The following is a 21,031-nucleotide window of genomic DNA, read 5'->3' as shown; positions in this document are numbered from 1 at the left end:
TCCTCGTTGAGACCAGGTGCAAATAATCAATCCCACTGTTATCAATAAACAACGCTTACAAGCTGCTACAAACCATTCAGAAACTCCTAGGACCCACGGTTACAACGAAACACTTTTTTTTTTTTTTTTTTTTTTTGAGACGGAGTCTCGCTGTCGCCCAGGCTGGAGTGCAGTGGCGCAATCTCGGCTCACTGCAGGCTCCGCCCCCTGGGGTTCACGCCATTCTCCTGCCTCAGCCTCCCGAGTAGCTGGGACTACAGGCGCCCGCCACCTCGCCCGGCTAATTTTTTTTTGTATTTTTAGTAGAGACGGGGTTTCACCGTGTTAGCCAGGATGGTCTCGATCTCCTGACCTCGTGATCCGCCCGCCTCGGCCTCCCAAAGTGCTGGGATTACAGGCGTGAGCCACCACGCCCGGCCCACTTTTTTTATTTTTATTTTTATTTTGAGACGGAGTCTCGCTCTGTCCCCCGGGCTGGAGTGCAGTGGCGCGATCTCTGCTCACTGCAAGCTCCGCCTCCCGGGTACATGCCATTCTCCTGCCTCAGCCTCCCTAGTAGCTGGGACTACAGGTGCCCGCCACCACGCCTGGCTAACTTTTTGTATTTTTAGTAGAGACTGGGTTTCACCGTGTTAGCCAGGATGATCTCAATTTCCTGACCTCATGATCTGCCCGTCTCAGCCTCCCAAAGTGCTGGGATTACAGGCGTGAGCCACCGCACCTAGCCAAAGCAACACTATTAATCAGCATGCTTCATGCCTTGACTAGGGGTCAGTGTGGTTCACGAACTTCAGCAGAAAAATTCAGGCTAATATCAGGCCTATGGAAACTTATTCTCACAGCACAGATGCCACATAAGAAAATGCATATGCTCGGCCAGGCACAGTGGCTCAACCTGTAATCCCAGCACTCTGGGAGGCCGAACCAGGTGGATCACCTGAGGTCCGGAGTTTGAGACTAGCCTGGCCGACATGGTGAAACCCCACCTCTATTAAAAATACAAAAATTAGCAGTGTGTGGTGGCAGCTGCCTGTAATCCCAGCTACTTGGGAGGCTGAGGCAGGAGAATCACTTGAACTGGGAGGTGGAGGTTGTAGTGAGCCCAGATCACGCCACTGCACTCCAGCCTGGGCAACAAAGCAAGACTCCATCTCAAAAAAATAAAAAATAAAAAAAAGAAAGAAAGAAAGAAAAGAAAATGCATATGCTCAGTAAACTATAAAGCATTGTCAAATGTTGTTTCAACATATGCAACTTTTTCCTATTTCTTTAATTTCCACAATATATACCTCTTCCTGAATGAGATGTTCACCCACCCCCTTTTTTGGGAGGAACAAGGAACAATCCAGGCCAAGCAAGATTAACAGAAAAGAGCCCTTTATAGGACACAGAAGGAAAGGTGATTCAACTAGTGATTCTGTACATTATATTAGGTCGGTGTAAAAGTAATTGTGGTTTTTCCCTAGAAGAAAACCTAGGCAATACCATTCAGGACATAGGCATGGGCAAGGACTTCATGTCTAAAACACCAAAAGCAATGGCAACATAAGGCAAAATTGTCAAATCGGTTCTAATTAAACTAAAGAGCTTCTGCACAGCAAAAGAAACTACCATCAGAGTCAACAGGCAACCTACAGAATAGGAGAAAAATTTTGCAATCTACCCATCTGACAAAGGGCTAATATCCAGAATCTACAAAGAACTAAAACAAATTTACAAGAAAAAATCAAACAACTCCATCAAAAAGTGGGTGAAGGATATGAACAGACACTTCTCAAAAGAAGACATTTATGCAGCCAACAGACACATGAAAAAATGCTCATTATCACTGGCCATCAGAGAAATGCAAATCAAAACCACAATGAGATACCATCTTACACCAGTTAGAATGGTGATCATTAAAAAGTCAGGAAACAACAGGTGCTGGAGAGGATGCAGAGAAATAGGAACGCTTTTACGCTGTTGGTGGGACTGTAAACTAGTTCAACCATTGTGGAAGTCAGTGTGGCGATTCCTCAAGGATCTAGAACTAGAAATACCATTGGACCCAGCCATCCCATTACTGGGTTATACCCAAAGGATTATAAATCATGCTGCTATAAAGACACATACACATGTATGTTTATTGTGGCACTATTCACAATAGCAAAGACTTGGAACCAACCCAAATGTCCATCAATGATAGACTGGATTAAGAAAATGTGGCACATATACACCATGGAATACTATGCAGCCATAAAAAAGGATGAGTTCATGTCCTTTGCAGGGACATGGATGAAGCTGGAAACCATCATTCTTAGCAAACTATCGCAAGGACAAAAAAACCAAACACTGCACGTTCTCACTCATAAGTGGGAAGTGAACAATGAGAACACTTGGACACAGGAAGGGGAACATCACACACTGGGGCCTGTCATGGGGTGAGGGGAAGGAGGAGGGATAGCATTAGGAGATATACCTAATGTAAATGATGAGTTAATGAGTGCAGCACACCAACATGGCACATGTATACATATGTAACAAACCTGAACATTGTGCACCTGTACCCTAGGACTTAAAGTATAATAATAAAAAAAAAAAAGTAATTGTGGTTTTTACCATTACTTTCAATGGCAAAAACCAAGATTAATTTTGCACCAGCTAGGTCATAACTGGCAAGAAACAGACGTGTTTATCTTAGAGCATCACTATGGGGTGGGCCTGAGAAAGGCTTGTTTCTTTCAAATCTCTTCCAACTACATGGAGGCGAAAGTGGATGGATTCCAGTGACTGCCTGACTGCTTGCACTGGGGGTGAGGTTGCCATGGGCAAGGAAGAGCTGAGAGAAGGGACTGTCTTTTGTTCTTCTGAGGTGACTCTGAACAGGAAAGTGACATGACGGAAAAAGTAGAAACCTCTTGCAACACTCTTTGGGCCTGATACATAGGGTTAATTGGCTGACAGAAAGACTTTCTAGAAATGGATTGCATCTTCCAGCCTTTTCATATGATGAGAGCATTAAGAAGCATTTACATTTTAATTACCAAGGAGAATAAGAAACTCAGTCTTGGGCCTTTGTTTGATTTGCCAACACTGGCTAGCAGAGAACCACGCACAGATGATGGGCTGAAGAAAGCTGTGATTGCCTCTTGCCCAGAGCTTGCGGACAAACTCAGTTGGATGGGTTTGGTACCTTTTCATGTCCATGTGAATCTTCTGGCTCCCAAGGATCCCTTCTTTCATTAAATACCCTGGCATTTTTCATTTCCAGGAGGGTAATACAAAAGCTGGTTCCTTGGATGCTTCTTCAAAACATAGACAGCTTCCATGTGCAGTGGATTTAAAAATACCAAGGGTCCTTCTCTATGTCCTTCATCTTCTGGGACTCACATGTGATCCTTTGGGACTGATGGAGCCAGATGACTGCTTTGTCTCAACTCTTTCCACTGGGGCAGTTGAAAGTTTTGTCTAGTTTATATTCTTGTAGAGCCTCCCTTTGTAAGCTGTTGGTGGAATAGGCACTATAGCTTCACAAAGGGAAACTCATCTTCATAGGAGGTGGAAAGGACAGAAGTGAATTTAAATGTCAATATCAAGCAGGAAGAAGATCTAAAGCTCTACATTTGGGGTGTATCAGTAAATGTGGGGAAAAAACCATACCAGACTCAAAAAGTATAAAAATAAAAACAGCAAATATGTATTGGATATCCTCTATATATGTGGCACACAGGGACAATGAGCAATAAGATATATGAAATCTGTTATTGCAGGGCTGACATTCTAGTTGAGGAGGCAGAAATGGCCATATAACAGATGAATTACAGTATGATAGCTCATGCTACTTTTGGCTGAGCACTGAATCTGCATTAGGTGCTGGACTGAACTCTTTGCAGGCAGTCCATGTGCAGGCAAGAGGAGCTCCAGGGTGCAACAGCAGGAGCACTCCCCAGGAGCTAGGTCAATCCAGGAAGACTCCATGGGGGGGGGTGGGGCTTGAGTTGGGCCTTGAAGGAAGCATAGGAGTTAGAACACATGAAAGGAAAGAGGATACTCTATGTTACTTTATTTATTTACTTATTTTGAGATGGAGTCTCACTCTGTCGCCCAGGCTGGAGTGCAATGGCGCAATCTCAGCTCACTGCAACCTCCGCCTCCTGGGTTCAAGCGATTCTCCTGCCTCAGCCTCCTGAGTAGCTAGGATTATAGGCACCCGTCTTCATGCTCTGCTAATTTTTTACTGTATGTTACTTTATTTGAGATTATTATAGTGATGCCTGCTTCCAACAGCCTGAAGGGGTGCTGATGTGGCTGCCCCGCTAGAAGCCTCTGTAGCCCAGGTGTTGGAGTGTGAGGGTAATGACCAGGTTCTCAGACTCACAAAAGAAACAGTTTGTGTCACAGTAGCCCTTCCAAAAACAAGATTTGACCTAAGGGATTCTATTGTGTGTTTTAAATAAGAAATCTCAAGTATTTCTTGCAAACCTTTGTGATCTATCCCTTTCACACTTCTGATAAAATTCCAAATGATAGTGTTCAGTATAAGAAATTGGGTTCTTCCTAACCTCACTCTTTCCCCAGTGACAATAAAAGTCACCTCGACTCAAATGATTGTGGCCCTAAAAGCCCATATTTCTGGGGGAAATCTGAAATGTTTACTTCAAGTGACAGTCTGAACTGCTCATGGCCCACTTCACATTCACAGGTCATCCTGCCCTCTGCTGAGTTGAAAAGCCCAAGATAGAAGAGGGCTCAATATTAGGAAACCCAGTTATTTATTTATCTTATTAGCAGATCGAAGAGGAAAATTAAATGGTCATTTTCATAGATCTTGAAAAAGCGTTTGATTTAAAAATCCATTTTTATTTAGAAATAAGTACTTGAATATTCTTACATTTAGTTTTATTATATTTTTATTTAGAAATAAATACTGTAATATTCTTATATTAATAAGAATAAAAGCCACCTCCTTAACATATAAAACATTTCTCTCTCACACCAAAAGTTAACATCATGCTTAATGGGAAACAAGACAGGAATTTACACTCTTGTCATTATTTAATAATGGTCAGAATGTCCAGGCCTGGCAGTTAGATAAGAAAAAAATAGGAGCTATAGACATAGGAGAAGAAGAATATAAATGTTCATTTTTTCAAACGTGGAAAATTCATGAGAATCACCTGAAAAACCATGCCAAATAATAAGATAATTTGTTAACAGATTTCCATACATCATACAATAATCAGTTGAAAGATGTAGGGAAGAAGAGATTCCATTTACAAATGTAAAAAAAGAAAAAGTAAAAGAACTAGAAATAACCATAATAAGAATGTACCAAATCTATATGAAGGAAACCTCAAAATACTCCTAAGAAAAACAAATGAAGACTCAAACAAGTATCTAGAACCCTGTTCTTGGATTAGGAAGACTCAAGATCATAAATAATACTCACTAACATTTACTAAGCATTTACTATGTACTCAGACACTCTTCTAAGTATTTTACTACATAACTTGTCAAAGATGTAAATTATCCCTAAATTAATTTGCAAATTTAACATAAATTCAATATATTATGCATATACTACCTATTCAGAAATAAAATTTAATTTTAAAATCTCAATTTCAATAATCCAAGCTGACATTAAAAAGATCATCTAAGATTCTTGATGCCCTTGAATGAGGAAGAGAGAGTAAAATGATCACTAGCTTGAGTCTTTGACCCTTCTATCAGAAGGTGTTTTCTTTGCTCAAGAGGAAGACACCCCCTCAGTAACTCACTTTCCTCAAAGGATCACTTGTCAACCTCAAGTTGCCCTACGAGCCTCCAGAAAAGGGCCAGAATCTCCACAAAGACTCACTTGACATACTCACAAAGCTCTGCTATGAACACTATTTTCCCAACCTTAAATCTCAGGAGGACTACCAAATGCAGGCCAGTTAACCCAAGAGGGAAAGTGAAGTCTACACCAACATAGATTAGATTAGGCTCTTTAAGCATCTCTCTTTTCCAGGGCTCCTACCTGGTCCCCCAGGGCTCCCTGGAGCGGCATCACCTCATTCATTACTGCAGCTAAGCCCTCAATTGAACAAGCCTCCCAGGGGCAATTTCCTTTCTGGGGGACATTGTCATTCAATGGTATTATGCAGACCAAGTAGGCAAGCAAGGTTCCAAAGCAAAATTGAGTTCCTACCTGACATGGCACCCAGGAGAGCCAGGAGAATGATTGCTTCCTGCATACTTGATGGTCACAACTGTGCGTGCTTCCAGCACATTAGCCACAGCCTGAATCCCGTCTCACACCCAAAGTTTATTCCAGAAGCCACTCAGCTTCCCCTCCTGGTTTTGTTGCCATGCAAGAAATCAAACAGAGGCTTTGGCGGTAGCCAAGGGAGACTCCAAACACCACAGGACTGTTTGTTCTTTGATTACCTGCTTCTGTGACTGCATAGCACCCAAGAGACCAACCAGCCAGTCCTGGTCAGCTCAGAGTTTACCTTAAAAGTCCACACTCACCAAGTGTCTCAACCAAGAGCTCCAAAAGAGAAGTCAAAAGAGAAAACCGAGACACGGAGACCACACTAAGAGCTGGACGTGCGTAGTCCACCCATGATGGTCTCGGTCGCCCTGTAGCCAGGCTTGTGGTCATTTCCAGAAACAGGGGTGGGAAGTGGGAGTTTTTCTGCTGTCCTGAATCAATGAGTAGGATTCAGACTTGGGAATTAACTGGCACTCGTTCTAAAGACAAGATCTGAGAGCTGGGAGCAGACCCCTCCTCGAGGCTGACTTGAGGTGGAAGACTGCCCTCTGACTCCACCCCCCACCACCGCCCCTCCAGCCCTCGAAGAAGGCTGTGAAGGAAGGTTACTGGAGTGGTGAGGCTTCTGCCCACTGGGGAGTGATGCAGGTCTTGCCCTTCACGATGCCTTTCTGTTCCACACAGCCCTGTGCCAGGGCACAAGATGTGGCATGTGAACAAACGCGGGCTGGGGTCTAGTCTCCACTGAGAAGGAGCAACAGCAGAGCAGAGAGAGAACGGCCGAGCAGTGGCCTGTCCCCTTGACATGGTGCAGTAAGAGAAGTAGTGGGCACAGTGGAAGGCAGCTGGGCTTGGACCACCTCTCCCATTCCTCTGCCAGCTAGGGGAGGAGAGGCCAGCAGCCCAAGGCTGGGGGCAGGAATGCAGTGAAGAAGGTGGGGAGTTGAGTCAGAGCCTCCCAGTCTGGACGAGACCCCACAGGCGCTCTGAAAACTACACATGCCCCACAGGTGAACCAGCTTTTAGCACCTGCTACACGGAGGTCACCAACGAGGGATAGAGGGAGACAGTGTTATGGAACCAAACTGGGTCCACTCACCCTGTGCAGTAAAACCGGATATCCACACCGAGGTTTTTGCAGCAATAGAAAGGAAGGCATTTATTTGCAAGGGTGCCAAGCAAGAAGGGCTCAGAGAGTGAGGGGTTTGACCCAGGCTGCGCCACCTGCCAGTGTCCCCTGTGTCCCCTGCGTCCCAAACCTAGGGTGGCAAGGCTGCCCTTCCCTTCCACCACATCCAAACATTTGACAAGCCCTTTCCAGCCTCCAGGGCCTGCTGCCGGGCCCCTTCCCATGCTTGTTGCTACTGCCCTGGCTTAAGGTCCTTGCCTCTGGCCTGGGCTCTGGCCCGCAGCACATCCTACAGAAACTTAGGTTAATTTCCCCAAAGTACAATTTTGGTCATTTACTTTCCTGCTCAAAATAACAAGAACCTTTCCCTTAAGAAAAGTTGACTTTTCTTGTGTAAAGCATGAAGGAAAGGTAGTAAGATTAGGAAAGCTAGTCGATAGGTCTCTGTTCGAAGCACATAGATAGTAACAACAACAACAAAACAAAAGGGAGTGTTGCTGTGTCACCTTTGGCAATTTACCTAACCTTTCAGAATCTCAGTTCCACTCACTTCTGTAAATCAGGGAAAATAATACCTGCTACACAGTATCATCGCAAGCGATACACAAGAGAAAGAAGTGAAAGAAACTGGCCCATACTATGTGTTTTAAAAATACTTTTTTTTTTTTTTTTTTTTTTTTTGGAGACAGGATCTCACTGTCACTCTGTCTCCCAGGCTAGAGTGTAGCAGCGCGATCATAGCTCATTACAGCCTCAATCTCCTGGACTCAAGCAATCCGCCCACCTCAGCCTCTGGAGCAGCTGGGACCACAGGCGTGCACCACCACACCAGGCTAATTAAAAAAATTTTTTTTTTAGAGAGGACGTCTCCCTATGTTGCCCAAACTGGTCTCAAACTTCTGGGCTCAAGCGATTCTCCCACCTCCGCCTCCCGAAGTGTTGATATTACAGGCATGTGCCACACTATTTTTTCCTAATAGGACCCTGGCAAGGGCTGAAACATAGTAGGTACTCAATATATATTGGCCAAATAAAAAGAAAAATAAACAACAGTTGCCAAGCTACCAATTCTCACCTCTCAGTTTTTCCTGTCATGTGAGATACTGTAAATAATCCATTTCATTATGCATAATTCAAGCTGAAGCGATGGCTCAGATTAAGTTATGGAAAACGTCAGAATGATTAAACTTTTGTATTAAAGAAACTCACATCTGTTTAGTTTTCAGCCTGACTGCACAGCATTTTTCATGTTACCCTGTTTTTACCAGGAGATCGTGCCTCCCCTTCCTTTCCCTCCCTGGTTCTAGGGAGCAAAAGGGTCATCTTTTGGAATTCATTGTGGGTGTTTTCTCCTGTAATTACAGCTTCTGTTTCCAGCCCCGAGGTTGTTTCTGCCATTGCCGCGGGCTGCTGCCCATGTGTCAATTCCCATCTCCCTCCGAAAGCACCTAGTCCTAGCACCAGACACCCAACTGGGCCTGAATCGCACCAAGGCTGAATGGGACCTTGCGGTCCTTGGCTCTCCTGTCCCTGACTGCCAGCATGCTGAGCTGTCCTGGATCCACCAAGGTCTCAGCCAGATGGGATGAATGGGTTCCTCAGGCAGGGTCGGAATCTCTAGGGCAGGCACCCCTCCAGCTTCACATGAGACCCAGGAGCCTTCTCCTACATGCTGTCTGGCTCAGCAGTGATTCAGGCCCTTAAAGTATTTCAGGGGACTTCCCTGGGAACTAGCTACTGTAAGTGTCTAATTTGCTAGCAAAGGAGTTGTGTTCCAAACATTTTTTGACTTGGAACTTGGAACTCAATTACCCTTACATAATCTATAACATATAGTCATGCACCGCATAATGACAACATTTCCATCAACCATGGACTTCGTACACAATGGTGGTCCCATAGATGATAATGGAGCTGAAACATTACTATCAACTAGTGACGTTGTAGCTGTTGTAACATCATAGTGCAACATGTTACTCATGTGTCTGGGGAGATACTGGTGGAACAAACCTACTGCACTGATAGTTATGCAAAAGTCTAGCGCATACGGTTATGTACAGTACATAATACTTATAATGATAATAAATGTATGCTGTCATTTTAGAGTATACTCCTACTTATTTAAAAAAATAAAGCTGGACAGGCACCGTGGCTCACGCCTGTAATCCCAGCACTTTGGGAGGCTGAGGCGGGTGGATCACAAGATCAGGAGTTCAAGACCCACCTGGCCAACATGGTGAAACCCCGTCTCTACTAAAAATATAAGTTAGCTGGGCATGGTGGTGAGCACCTGTAGTCCCAGCTACTTGGGAGGCTGAGGCAGGAGAATCTCTTGAACTAGGGAGGCAGAGGTTGTAGTGAGCCGAGATCGCGCCATTGCACTCTAGCCTTGGTGACAGAGTGAGACTCCATCTCAAAAAAAAAAAAAAAAAAAAAAAAAAAAGCTAATTGTAGAACAGCCTCTGGCAGGCCCTTAGGAGGTATCCAGAGGAAGGCATTGTTATCATAGAAGATGGCAGCTCCATGTGTGTTATTGCCCCTGAAGACCTTCCAGTGGGACAAGATGTGGAGGTGGAAGACATGACATTGATGATCCTGACCCTGTGCAGGTCTAGACTAATGTGTGTGTTTGTGTCTTCATTTTTAACAAAAAAGGTTTGCAAGTTAAAAAAAAATAGAAAAATAGTATAGATTAAGGCTATAAAGAAAGAAAATATTTTTGTACAGCTGTGCAATGTATTTTAAGCTGTTATTACAACAGAGTCAAAAGTTTTAAAAATATAAAAGTTTGTAAAAATGTTACAGTAAGATAAGGTTAATTTATTATTGAAGAAAGAAAAATTGAAAAATAAATGGAGTGGACTAAGTTTACAAACTCTACAGTAGTGTACAGTAATGTCCTAGGCCTTACATTCACTCACCACTCACTCACTCACCTACAGCAACTTCCAGTCCTGCAAGCTCCATTCATGTTAAGTGTCCTATAGAGGTGTACCATTTTAAAAAATCATTTATGCAGTTTTTTGTTGTTGTTTTTTTTTTTTGACGGAGTCTCGCACTGTCACCTGGACTGGAGTGCAATGGCACGATCTCAGCTCACTGCAACCTCCGCCTCCTGGGTTCAAGCTATTCTCCTGCCTCAGCCTCCCAAGTAGCTGGGATTACAGGCACCCGCCACCATGTCCAGCTAGTTTTTTGTATTTTTAGTAGAGAGGGGATTTCACTATGTTGGCCAGGCTGGTCTCAAACTCCTGACCTCGTGATCCACCCACCTCGGCCTCCCAAAGTGCTGGGATTACAGACGTGAGCCATCGTGCCCGGCCTTATGCAGTATTTTTTAATGTACTTTTTCTATGTTTACATATACAAATACATACCATCGAGTTACAATTGCCTACAGTATTCAGTACAGTAACATGCTGTACAGGTTTGTAGCCCAGGAGCAATAAACTATACCATACAGCCCAGGTGTGTAATAGGCTATACCATCGAGGTTTGTGTAAGTGCACTCTATGATGTTCGCACAATGATGAAATTGCCTAGTATTGCATTTCTCAGAATGTATCCCCATCATTAACTAACTGTACTTGTCTGTATTTTAAATATTACAGCCTTAAGATGAGACACAGAAGTACTGTGCAATGGCTGGGCTCTGTTAGCAGCTCCACGAGCATTGGTGGGCTGGCCTGCAAGCCTCATCACCTTTATATCTGCGGGGCAGTTCTGTTCATGGTCCGTTTGTTCAGGACTGGAACTATGGGCTTCCAGGAATCCAAAACCTAGAACAGAACACCCAGGTTCCATCATTCAAGCACCTCCCCCATCTCAGGCCTCCCTCAGGAAAGGCACTCAGGGTAGACCCATGCTCACAGCAATGGTGCCATGCAGATGCACAAAGCTGCTTGCAAGAATAGAAACACATCCCTCCCCGTGTCTTCTTTGTGGGCCACTGTCCTAGCACACGCACTGCTTTAGCACCACATCTCATGGATCTTTTATACATCTGTCTCCATGCAGCCTTGGCAAGTTTTCCAGGACAGAGAAGCTCTTATGCTTCTTTGCACTCCAATTGCTTCACATTTAACACTGTGCCAGATGCATAGTAAGTGCTCAAAAAACATGGAATTACTGATCTTACTTTATACTTCCTTGCCTCGTGCCATGCTCTCCTCTCACACCCACCCCAAACATCGACCCAGTGAGAGCCCCCCCCGCCCCCGCCAGCTCTTGCAGGGATAGAAATAAAGAAGTGCCACAGCCCTTCTCACTTCTAGAACCCCGGAGCTGCATCCCCTGACTGGCCTTGAGGACCATGGGAGGGGCTCCTCTGAAGCCAAGGCTCTCAGGACCCACTGGTAGGGTCCTTTTCCTGGCTTCACAGGTGGAAGAGTGACTGAGAAGACGTCCTTGGGGCTCAGCCCCACCTGACTCCAGGGCACCTGCTGTGACTGTGGGCTAGGCTGCCTGCTCTCTGGGCTCACGTCCCCAGATAATTCTTTTTTTTTTCTTTAAACAGTTTGTGATATAATTCACATACCTTACAATGCACCCAGTTAAAGTGTACAATTCAGTGATTTTTAGTATATTCATAGAGTTGTGCAACCATCACCATAATCAATTTTATAACATTTTCATCCCCCCCAAAGAAAAACCTCTTCAATCCTTAGCAGTTACTCTCAATTTTCCTCTAACTCTCGCCCCCAACCCTAGCAACCACTAATCTACTTTCTATCTCTATAGATTTCCTTATTCTGGGCATTTCATATGAATAGAATCATACAATATGTGGCCTTTTTAAAATTTTTTTTTTTTTTTTGAGATGGAGTCTCACTCCATCACCCAGGCTGGAGTGCAGTGGCGTGATCTCAGCTCATTGCAACCTCTGCCTCCCAGGTTCAAGTGATTTTCCTGCCTCAGCCTACCAAATAGGTGGGATTACAGGCGCGTGCGACCATGCCAGGCTAATTTTTGTATTATCAGTAGAGGCAGGGTTTTGCCATGTTGGCCAGGCTGGTCTCGAACTCCTGACCTCAGGTGATCCGCCTGCCTTGGCCTCCCAAAGTGCTGGGATTAGAGGCAGGAGCCAGTGCACCCAGCAATATGTGGCCTTTTGTACTGGCTTCTTTTACTTGCATAATGTTCTTTGGGTTCGTGTATTTTGTTGTATGGCTCAATACTTCATTCCTTTTTATTGCTGAATAATATTGGGTTGGTGCAAAAGTCATTGCGGTTTTTGCCATTACTTTTAATTACTTTTGCACCAACCCAATATTATTCCGTTGTATGGATAGACCACAATTTAATTTTCTTATTAATCAGTTGATGGACATGTGGGTTATTTCAACATTTTGGCTATTAAAATAATGCTGCTATGAACATTTGTGTACAAGTTTTTGCACGACATAGGTTTTTATTTCTCTTAGGGAAATACCTAGAAGTGTAATTACCAGGTCATATGGTGATTCTACCAGGTCATTCTTGTGGGCAATTGTCTAACTGCTTTGAAGCCAGCTCCTTCTCCAGCATCCTTCATTGGCTTCCTGGAGCCCCCTACCCCAAGCTATGGGTCTCCTCCTACTTACCCTCTCTGCCACTTTGTTCAAACATCTTCATGCCAGCTGATTCCTTCTTCCCCCTTCTCCCTTTAGGTGGCATTTATTTATTCACTCAAGAAATATTGAATACCTACTGTGTGTCAAGCCCTGTTGTGCATGCTAAGGTTATCGCAGAGAACTGTTTTGTTCTCTGAAGAAAATGCCTGGCCACAAGCAACAGATTCTGTAGAAGCACCCCTCCTTCCATCCATCCAGTCAGCCAGCTGTGGCTCTGGTTGAAGCTCACCGCATGGCAGCACTGAGAGGTGACAGCATGCTGGCATCCCTCGCTCGCTCGCTCTCGGCGCCTCCTCTGCCTGGACGCCCACTCTGGCGGCACTTGAGGAGCGCTTCAGCCTGCCGCTGCACTGTGGGAGCCCCTTCCTGGGCTGGCTGAGGCCAGAGCCGGCTCCCTCAGCTTGAGGGGAAGTGTGGAGGGAGAGACGCCGGCGGGAACCGGGACGGCGCGTGGCGCTTGCGGGCCAGCGCTAGTTCCAGGTGGGTGTGGGCTCGGCGGGCCCCGCACTCGGAGCAGTCCGCCGGCTCCGGGCAGTGAGCGGCTTAGCACCTGGGCCAGCGGCTGCTGTGCTCGACTTCTCGCCGGGCCTTAGCTGCCTCCCTGCGGGGCAGGGCTCAGGACCTGCAGCCTGCCATGCCTGAGCCTACCCCGCCGCCGTGGGCTCCTGCGCAGCCTGAGCCTCCCCGACCAGCGCCACCCCCTGCTCCACGGCGCCCAGTCCCATCGACCACCCAACGGCTGAAGCGTGCGGGCGCACAGCGCGGGACTGGCAGGCAGCTCCACCTGCGGCCGGGTGCTGGATCCACTGGGTGAAGCCAGCTGGACTCCTGAGTCTGGTGGGGACTTGGAGAATCTTTATGTCTAGCTAGGGGATTGTAAATACACCAGTCAGCACCCTGTGTCTAGCTCAGGGTTTGTGAATACACCAATCGACACTGTATCTAGTTACTCTGGTGGGGACTTGGAGAACCTTTGTGTGGACACTCTGTATCTAGCTAATCTAGTGGGGACGTGGAGAACTTTTGTGTGTAGCTCAGGGATTGTAAATGCACCAATCAGCACCCTGTCAAAACGGACCAATCAGCTCTCTGTAAAATGGACCAATCAGCTCTCTGTAAAATAGACCAATCAGCAGGATGTGGGGGGGTGGGCGGGGACAGATAAGAGAATAAAAGCAGGCTGCTGGAGCCAGCAGTGGTAACTCGCTTGGGTCGCCTTCCACGTTGTGGATGGTTTGTTCTTTTGCTTTTTGCAATTAGTCTTGCTTCTGCTCACTTTTTTGGTCCTTGCTACCTTTATGAGCTGTAACACTCACCGTGAAGGTCTGCAGCTTCGCTCCTGAGCCAGCGAGACCACGAACCCACCAGAAGAAAGAAACTCCGAACACATCTGAACATCTGGAGGAACAAACTGTGGGCACACCGCCTTTAAGAACTGTAACACTCACCACGAGGGTCCACGGTTTCATTCTTGAAGTCAGTGAGACCAAGAACCCACCAATTCTGGACACACCACTGTACTTGCATCAGGATGGAAGGTCTGCTATGACATGGTTCTCCCATCAAGGAACTCGGGCCCTAGCCCAGAGACAAACCAGTAAGCCCAGGATTATAACCAAGTAATCTAGGCATGCCTCCACTGAACTCCAGGCATGCCTGAGGCTGTGGGGTATGAGAGAGTGGAGAGAAAGAATCAAATGTAGGTCAAGAGTGAAGCTGTCAGGGAAGGTTTCTAAGGGCAGGAGTGAGCTGAAGAAATGAAGGGTAAAGGCAAAAGCAGTTAACAATGTAGAGGTATGAAATAGTATAGTTCATCCAATGGCATTATGCCAGCTGATTTATCTTTAGGGAAGCTCAGTTTTTAAGAAAAAAAAATTTATTTTTTGAATAGGTAATACATGTACACAATGCAAAATTCTAAATATTCAAAAGAGTAAACAATGAAAAACATGTCTTCCTATCTCCTTTCCCCAGAAGCTGTTTCCCTCCTCGGAGACAGCCATTATTGTTACAGCCTTGTGATCCTTCTAGAAACAGTCTATGTGCATACAAACATATACTAAATAGCATAGTCTCTGCTTTATGGAAACATAGTCTGTGCTTCATGATACTGATGGAAGCATATTATATCCTCTCTACTTTACTTGGTTTTTCCTCTTACTATAGTTGGGACATTGTAACATATCAGCGCATACATAGCACCATTCTTTTTAGTAACTGCATAATATCCATTGTATTGATGTGCCACGTATTTATCAAGTCTGCTATTGATGGGGGTTTGCTTTGTTATCAATTTTTTCCTATTACAAGTAATGCTGCAATAAACGTCTTTGAATCTATATAATATCATACAAGAGTATATTTGTAGACTAAATTTTTAAAAATGGACTTGAATGGGAGAAAACATTAACTTTTTGACAGACATTGCCAAAATACTCCTCAAAGAAGTTGTGCCAATTTATACTCCTACGATTGACATGTGAGAATGTGGGAGAATCCCCCAAATCCTCACCAATATAGTGTTATCAAACATTTTACTTTTTGCCAATCTGTTAGGTTAAAAATATTGTATCTCATTTCAATCTGCATTTCCTTCTCATGAGTAAAATTGGGCATTTCTACCATTTTTCTTCTGGGTTGTTGGTATATTTTCTACTGGTTTGTAGGAAATCTTGGTATGTTGAGGAATTTAGTACTTTATCTGTAATATGCAGTGCAAATATTATTTCCTCTTTATCATTTGATTTTTGACTTTGTTTCTAGGGATTTCTGCCATAAAATTTTTAAAACATTTTTATATAGTCAAATGTATCACCTTGTGTTCTATGGCTCTACTTTTTGCTCACTGCTTAGAAAGGATTCTCTCTGAGATAATAATAAATACTTTCATATTTTCTTCTAATACTTTTATGGTTTTGTTTTCAAATATAAGCTTCTGATTTTCTTGGAATTATTCTGAAATGGGAAAAGTTCCTTGTCCCCATTGCAGGGCGTGCGATGAGGGTGCGGCTCACTTCTTCAGTGCCCTGCTGCTCAAACCTCTAGGGGAGCATATAGACCAGATGTGCAGGCTGTGGGGCTCCAACGCCACGACAGTGTCTAGGGGTGAATGTTTACAGCTGAAGCCCCAGGCAAAGTGTGATATAGTGTGCACTTTTAGTTTAGCCATCCGTAGGTGGCCTGTGTTAGCTCACTTAGACCCCTGCCTTATCACAAGGGCAGATGGCTTTCTGTTTCCCGGGGTTCTGGCCTTGGTGTACCGGAAGAATCAGATCACATGTGGGCTTGGAGAATGAGTGCAAGGTTTTATTGAGTGGAAGTAGCTCTCTGCAGATGGGGGAGCCAGAAGGGAGACAGTTTTCCCCTGGAGTTAGGTGGCTCGGAGGCCTGACCTCTCCTCCAACTGCCCCAGCCAAATTCCACGTGTTCTGCCAGCATGCCAGTTTCTGTCAGTGCATTCCTCTGGACGTCCAGCTGCCCGTGTGTTCCTCCGCTGATATGCTCCTCTCGACATCCAGCTGCTTGTGTGTCTGCCTGCTAGGGTCTCAGCGTTTTTATAGGCATAGGACAGGGGCATGGCAGGTCAGGGTGGTCTTGGGAAATGCAACATTTGGGCAGAAAAACAAAAATGCCTGTCTTCACCTAGGTCCATGGGCACAGGCCCCACTGTGGAGCCCTAGCCAGGGACCACGCCCTTCTCTACTCAGCACTTCCCTGCCTCCTTCCATATCATTTAAAGGGACCATGCCTTTCCCAGTACTTCCTTCCATATCAGTTCCTTAAGGTGTGAGGTAGGATCCAATGGGAACTTCTCTTTCCAAAATTGCACTTTAGCCAACTTAGCCAGAGTGCTAATCATCTGCTCAAAGAGCTGGGGATATGGGAATACTTTCCCCTTCACATTCAAAGAGTAGTTAAGCTTAGGATAGAACTGTCAAGCAGAGGAAATGTGCCTCTAGCCTGTTTCACACAGCACCTGGAAGAAAAAAGGAGCAAAATTTCTCTTAGCTCATAGCATGTCATTCCAGAGAAAGTTGGAACTTTCCGTCTGTGTGAAATAATCAATCCAAGACTTGCTTTTCCTGGCCTCAGTCCCCTCATTTGCATAGATGTGGGTGACCCAGTGTTCAGTGCATATCAGCCCTCTGCTTTGTACGTAGTAATCCCATCCTGCACAAAGCAGTGGGTGAAATACATCTTAACGTGGGTGCCAAAAGCAAGTCTGATTCTTCAGGCTAAAGTACTCAGTGTTCTCCCTCCCTCCATGCCTTTGCCTAAACTGGAAGTTATGTCTTTACTCACCTCAGCTCATGTAACAACACCAGAGAGAGCCTCATGACAGGCAGCAGGTCCTTTTGACCTCGCAGTCTTCTAGTTAGCGATTCTATTTTGATTTATTTATTTATTTGTATTTTCCTCCTCCCAAAAGAAAGAACTTAGCCAGTTTTTAACTTTCCTCTGAAACCCTTCTTCCCATTTTCTAGGTTTTCTATGTCATTTAGAATTAAATATCTCCTTGTTTTTACACACAAATGAGGGGTGTTTATTTAACCATCAATATTGTCAATGCTTTTATATTCATCAAAATATTTTATAGCTTTCTTTATGCAGCTTTTCTTCTTTCAATTCTTTTTTCTAGGTTTTTCTTCTTTCTTACACCCTTTAGTAGTTCATTCATTCAGAGTGTGTAGTCAGTAAGTACTTTTAGTTGTGTGTGTCTGGAAATCTTTATTTCATCCTGGCGTGTATATAATAGTTTAGCTGGGTATAGAAGTCTAGGTCGACAGTTATTTTTCTCTTCATTTCTTGAAGACATGTTCTCCCTGTCTTCTAATATCTATTTCTACCCATGAAATAGATAATAGTTTTTTTGGCTAATTTTTGCTGTTGGCCTAACATTGTTTTTGGTATTTGGTTTCAGAAAGCTGTCTTTTCTTTTTGGTAGTTCTTAATTAAGCCTTTTATTTATCCCTAATGTCTTACAATTTTAAAATTCTAATTTTACTTTGAGACTATGAGGTTAGCTGTTCTTGAATTCCTCTTGTAACTTTCTATCTTTGAAAGGAGAACAAGTTTATAACTGTTTTTAAAGCTCAACTGATTTGTTACCAATTGAAAAACAAATTCATTGAGTAGATGGTATTAGTATCAAAGTATTGCTTTGTTATGTTTTCAAAACCATAAGTCTAAATAGATTTGATAAAAGTGCCTATAAATCAGGACTTCTGCTGAGTAATGTCAGATAACCACAGTCTTACTGTATATGAAACATAACATTAAAATAACAAACATTTCACAGATAACATTTGACACATAACAAATCATTTTTATTATTTCATCATAATCCTTTACAGGTATGTTGAATTAAAACTGATCTTCAGAGGAAAATAATCTTAATTTTCAAAGCAAATAATAATATGAGTTCTTGCAAGACAAAAATTTAGAGTTGCATTTATTTGATTTGGTTTTGCTTAGCTTTGATGACTTAAAGAGTTTCTTCCCTTTTTGCTTCATCCCTGGGATGCAAGGCTGGTTCAACATATGCAAATCAATAAAAGTAATCCAGCATATAAACAGAACCAAAGACAAAAACCACATGATTATCCCAATAGATGCAGAAAAGGCCTTTGACAAAATTCAACAACCCTTCATGCTAAAAACTCTCAATAAATTAGGTATTCATGGGATGTATCTCAAAATAATAAGAGCTATTTATGACAAACCCACAGCCAATATCATATTGAATGGGCAAAAACTGGAAGCATTCCCTTTGAAAACTGGCACAAGACAGGGATGCCCTCTCCCACCACTCCTATTCAACATAGTGTTGGAAATTCTGGCCAGGGCAATCAGGCAGGAGAAAGAAATAAAGGGTATTCAATTAGGAAAAGAGGAAGTCAAATTGTCCCTGTTTGCAGATGACATGATTATATATTTAGAAAACCCCATTGTCTCAGCCCAAAATCTCCTTAAGCTGATAAGCAACTTCAGCAAAGTCTCAGGATACAAAATCAATGTGCAAAAATCACAAGCATTCTTATACACCAATAACAGACAAACAGAGAGCCAAATCCTGAGTGAACTCCCATTCACAATTGCTTCAAAGAGAATAAAATACTTAGGAATTCAACTTACAAGGGATGTGAAGGACCTCTTCAAGGAGAACTACAAACCACTGCTCAACGAGATAAAAGAGGACACAAACAAATGGAAGAACATTCCATGCTTATCGATAGGAAAAATCAATATCATGAAAATGGCCATACTGCCCAAAGTAATTTATAGATTCAATGCCATCCCCATCAAGCTACCAATGACTTTCTTCACAGAATTGGAAAAAACTACTTTAAAGTTCATATGGAACCAAAAAAGAGCCCGCATTGCCAAGACAATCCTAAGCCAAAAGAACAAAGATGGAGGCATCACACTACCTGACTTCAAACTATACTACAAGGCTACAGTAACCAAAACAGCATGGTACCAGTACCAAAACAGAGATATAGACCAATGGAACAGAACAGAGCCCTCAGAAATAATACCACACGTCTACAACCATCTGATCTTTGACAAACCTGACAAAAACAAGAAATGGGGAAAGGATTCCCTATTTAATAAATGGTGCTGGGAAAACTGGCTAGCCATATGTGGAAAGCTGAAACTGGATCCGTTCCTTACACCTTATACAAAAATTAATTCAAGATGGATTAAAGACTTAAATGTTAGACCTAAAACCATAAAAACCCTAGAAGAAAACCTAGGCAATACCATTCAGGACATAGGCATGGGCAAGGACTTCATGTCTAAAATACCAAAAGCAATGGCAACAAAAGCCAAAATTGACAAATGGAATCTAATTGAACTAAAGAGCTTCTGCACAGCAAAAGAAACTACCATCAGTGTGAACAGGCAACCTACAGAATGGGAGAAAATTTTTGCAATCTGCTTATCTGACAAAGGGCTAATATCCAGAATCTACAAAGAACTCAAACAAAGACACAAGAAAAAAACAAACAACCCCATCAAAAAGTGGGCGAAGGATATGAACAGACACTTCTCAAAAGAAGACATTTATGCAGCCAACAGACACATGAAAAAATGCTCATCATCACTGGCCATCAGAGAAATGCCAATCAAAACCACAATGAGATACCATCTCACACCAGTTAGAATGGCGATCATTAAAAAGTCAGGAAACAACAGATGCTGGAGAGGATGTGGAGAAATAGGAACGCTTTCACACTGTTGGTGGGACTGTAACCTAGTTCAACCATTGTGGAAGGCAGTGTGGCGATTCCTTAAGGATCTAGAACTAGAAATACCATTTGACCCAGCCATCTCATTACTGGGTTATACCCAAAGGATTATAAATCATGCTGCTATAAAGACACATGCACACGTATGTTTATTGCGGCACTATTCACAATAGCAAAGACTTGGAACCAACCCAAATGTCCATCAATGATAGACTGGATTAAGAAAATGTGGCACATATACACCATGGAATACTATGCAGCCATAAAAAAGGATGAGTTCATGTCCTTTGTAGGGACATGGATGAAGCTGGAAGCCATCATTCTCAGCAAACTATCGCAAGGACAAAAAAATCAAACACCGCATGTTCTCACTCATAGGTGGGAATTGAACAATGAGAACACTTGGACACAGGAAGGGGAACATCACACACCGGGGCCTGTCGTGGGGTGGGGGGAGGGGTGAGGGATAGCATTAGGAGATATACCTAATGTAAATGACGAGTTAATGAGTGCAGCACACCAATATGGCGCATGTATACATATGTAACAAACCTGCACGTTGAGCACATGTACCCTAGAACTTAAAGTATAATAAAAAAAAGAGTTTCTTCACTTTTTAAAAAAACTGGTATACTCTCTTCATGCAATCAAAATATTTCAATTCAAAAAAATTTAACTTAATATCCATCTTTTCAGAAGCTTATTATATCTTACTATGAGATTCTTCTGTTTGTGTATGTGTGTATGTGTATGAGTGTTTGTACATTTAAACCTGCATTCTCAAATAAGTTCCAACTCAAGC

At 43.4% G+C, this 21,031-nt stretch overlaps 1 protein-coding gene across 2 annotated transcripts in view, besides 5 other annotated features; it reads right to left on the bottom strand.

Moving 5' to 3' along the window:
• The window catches only part of CDHR3 (cadherin related family member 3), a 73,169-nt gene extending 66,899 nt beyond the window's left edge, over nt 1-6,270 (bottom strand). For both annotated transcript variants that reach the window (NM_152750.5, NM_001301161.2), the window contains exon 1: nt 6,170-6,270. In NM_152750.5, the coding sequence (NP_689963.2) occupies nt 6,170-6,215 (46 nt within the window). In that variant the 5' untranslated portion in view covers nt 6,216-6,270. The remainder of the gene's footprint in view (nt 1-6,169) is intronic.
• Nucleotides 5,814-6,765: an enhancer, noted in NCBI's record as "NANOG-H3K27ac-H3K4me1 hESC enhancer chr7:105603215-105604166 (GRCh37/hg19 assembly coordinates)". NCBI's record gives its function as "activates a minimal SCP1, AML or CMV promoter by ChIP-STARR-seq in naive H9 embryonic stem cells {active_cell/tissue: H9 hESC(naive)}" and the evidence as "EXISTENCE:reporter gene assay evidence [ECO:0000049][PMID:30033119]".
• Nucleotides 5,937-6,231: a silencer, noted in NCBI's record as "tiled region #9048; K562 Repressive non-DNase unmatched - State 21:Repr". NCBI's record gives its function as "represses a minimal TATA promoter and a strong SV40 promoter by Sharpr-MPRA in K562 cells {active_cell/tissue: K562}" and the evidence as "EXISTENCE:reporter gene assay evidence [ECO:0000049][PMID:27701403]".
• Nucleotides 6,766-7,717: an enhancer, noted in NCBI's record as "H3K27ac-H3K4me1 hESC enhancer chr7:105602263-105603214 (GRCh37/hg19 assembly coordinates)". NCBI's record gives its function as "activates a minimal SCP1, AML or CMV promoter by ChIP-STARR-seq in naive H9 embryonic stem cells {active_cell/tissue: H9 hESC(naive)}" and the evidence as "EXISTENCE:reporter gene assay evidence [ECO:0000049][PMID:30033119]".
• Nucleotides 12,818-13,317: an enhancer, noted in NCBI's record as "H3K4me1 hESC enhancer chr7:105596663-105597162 (GRCh37/hg19 assembly coordinates)". NCBI's record gives its function as "activates a minimal SCP1, AML or CMV promoter by ChIP-STARR-seq in primed H9 embryonic stem cells {active_cell/tissue: H9 hESC(primed)}" and the evidence as "EXISTENCE:reporter gene assay evidence [ECO:0000049][PMID:30033119]".
• Nucleotides 13,318-13,819: an enhancer, noted in NCBI's record as "H3K4me1 hESC enhancer chr7:105596161-105596662 (GRCh37/hg19 assembly coordinates)". NCBI's record gives its function as "activates a minimal SCP1, AML or CMV promoter by ChIP-STARR-seq in naive and primed H9 embryonic stem cells {active_cell/tissue: H9 hESC(naive and primed)}" and the evidence as "EXISTENCE:reporter gene assay evidence [ECO:0000049][PMID:30033119]".

The sequence above is a fragment of the Homo sapiens genome, chromosome 7, assembly GCF_000001405.40.
Source record: "Homo sapiens chromosome 7, GRCh38.p14 Primary Assembly".
Lineage (NCBI taxonomy): Eukaryota > Metazoa > Chordata > Mammalia > Primates > Hominidae > Homo > Homo sapiens.
The sequence above is the reverse complement of the archived record's forward strand: the minus strand, read 5'-3'. Positions and strand labels throughout refer to the sequence as shown.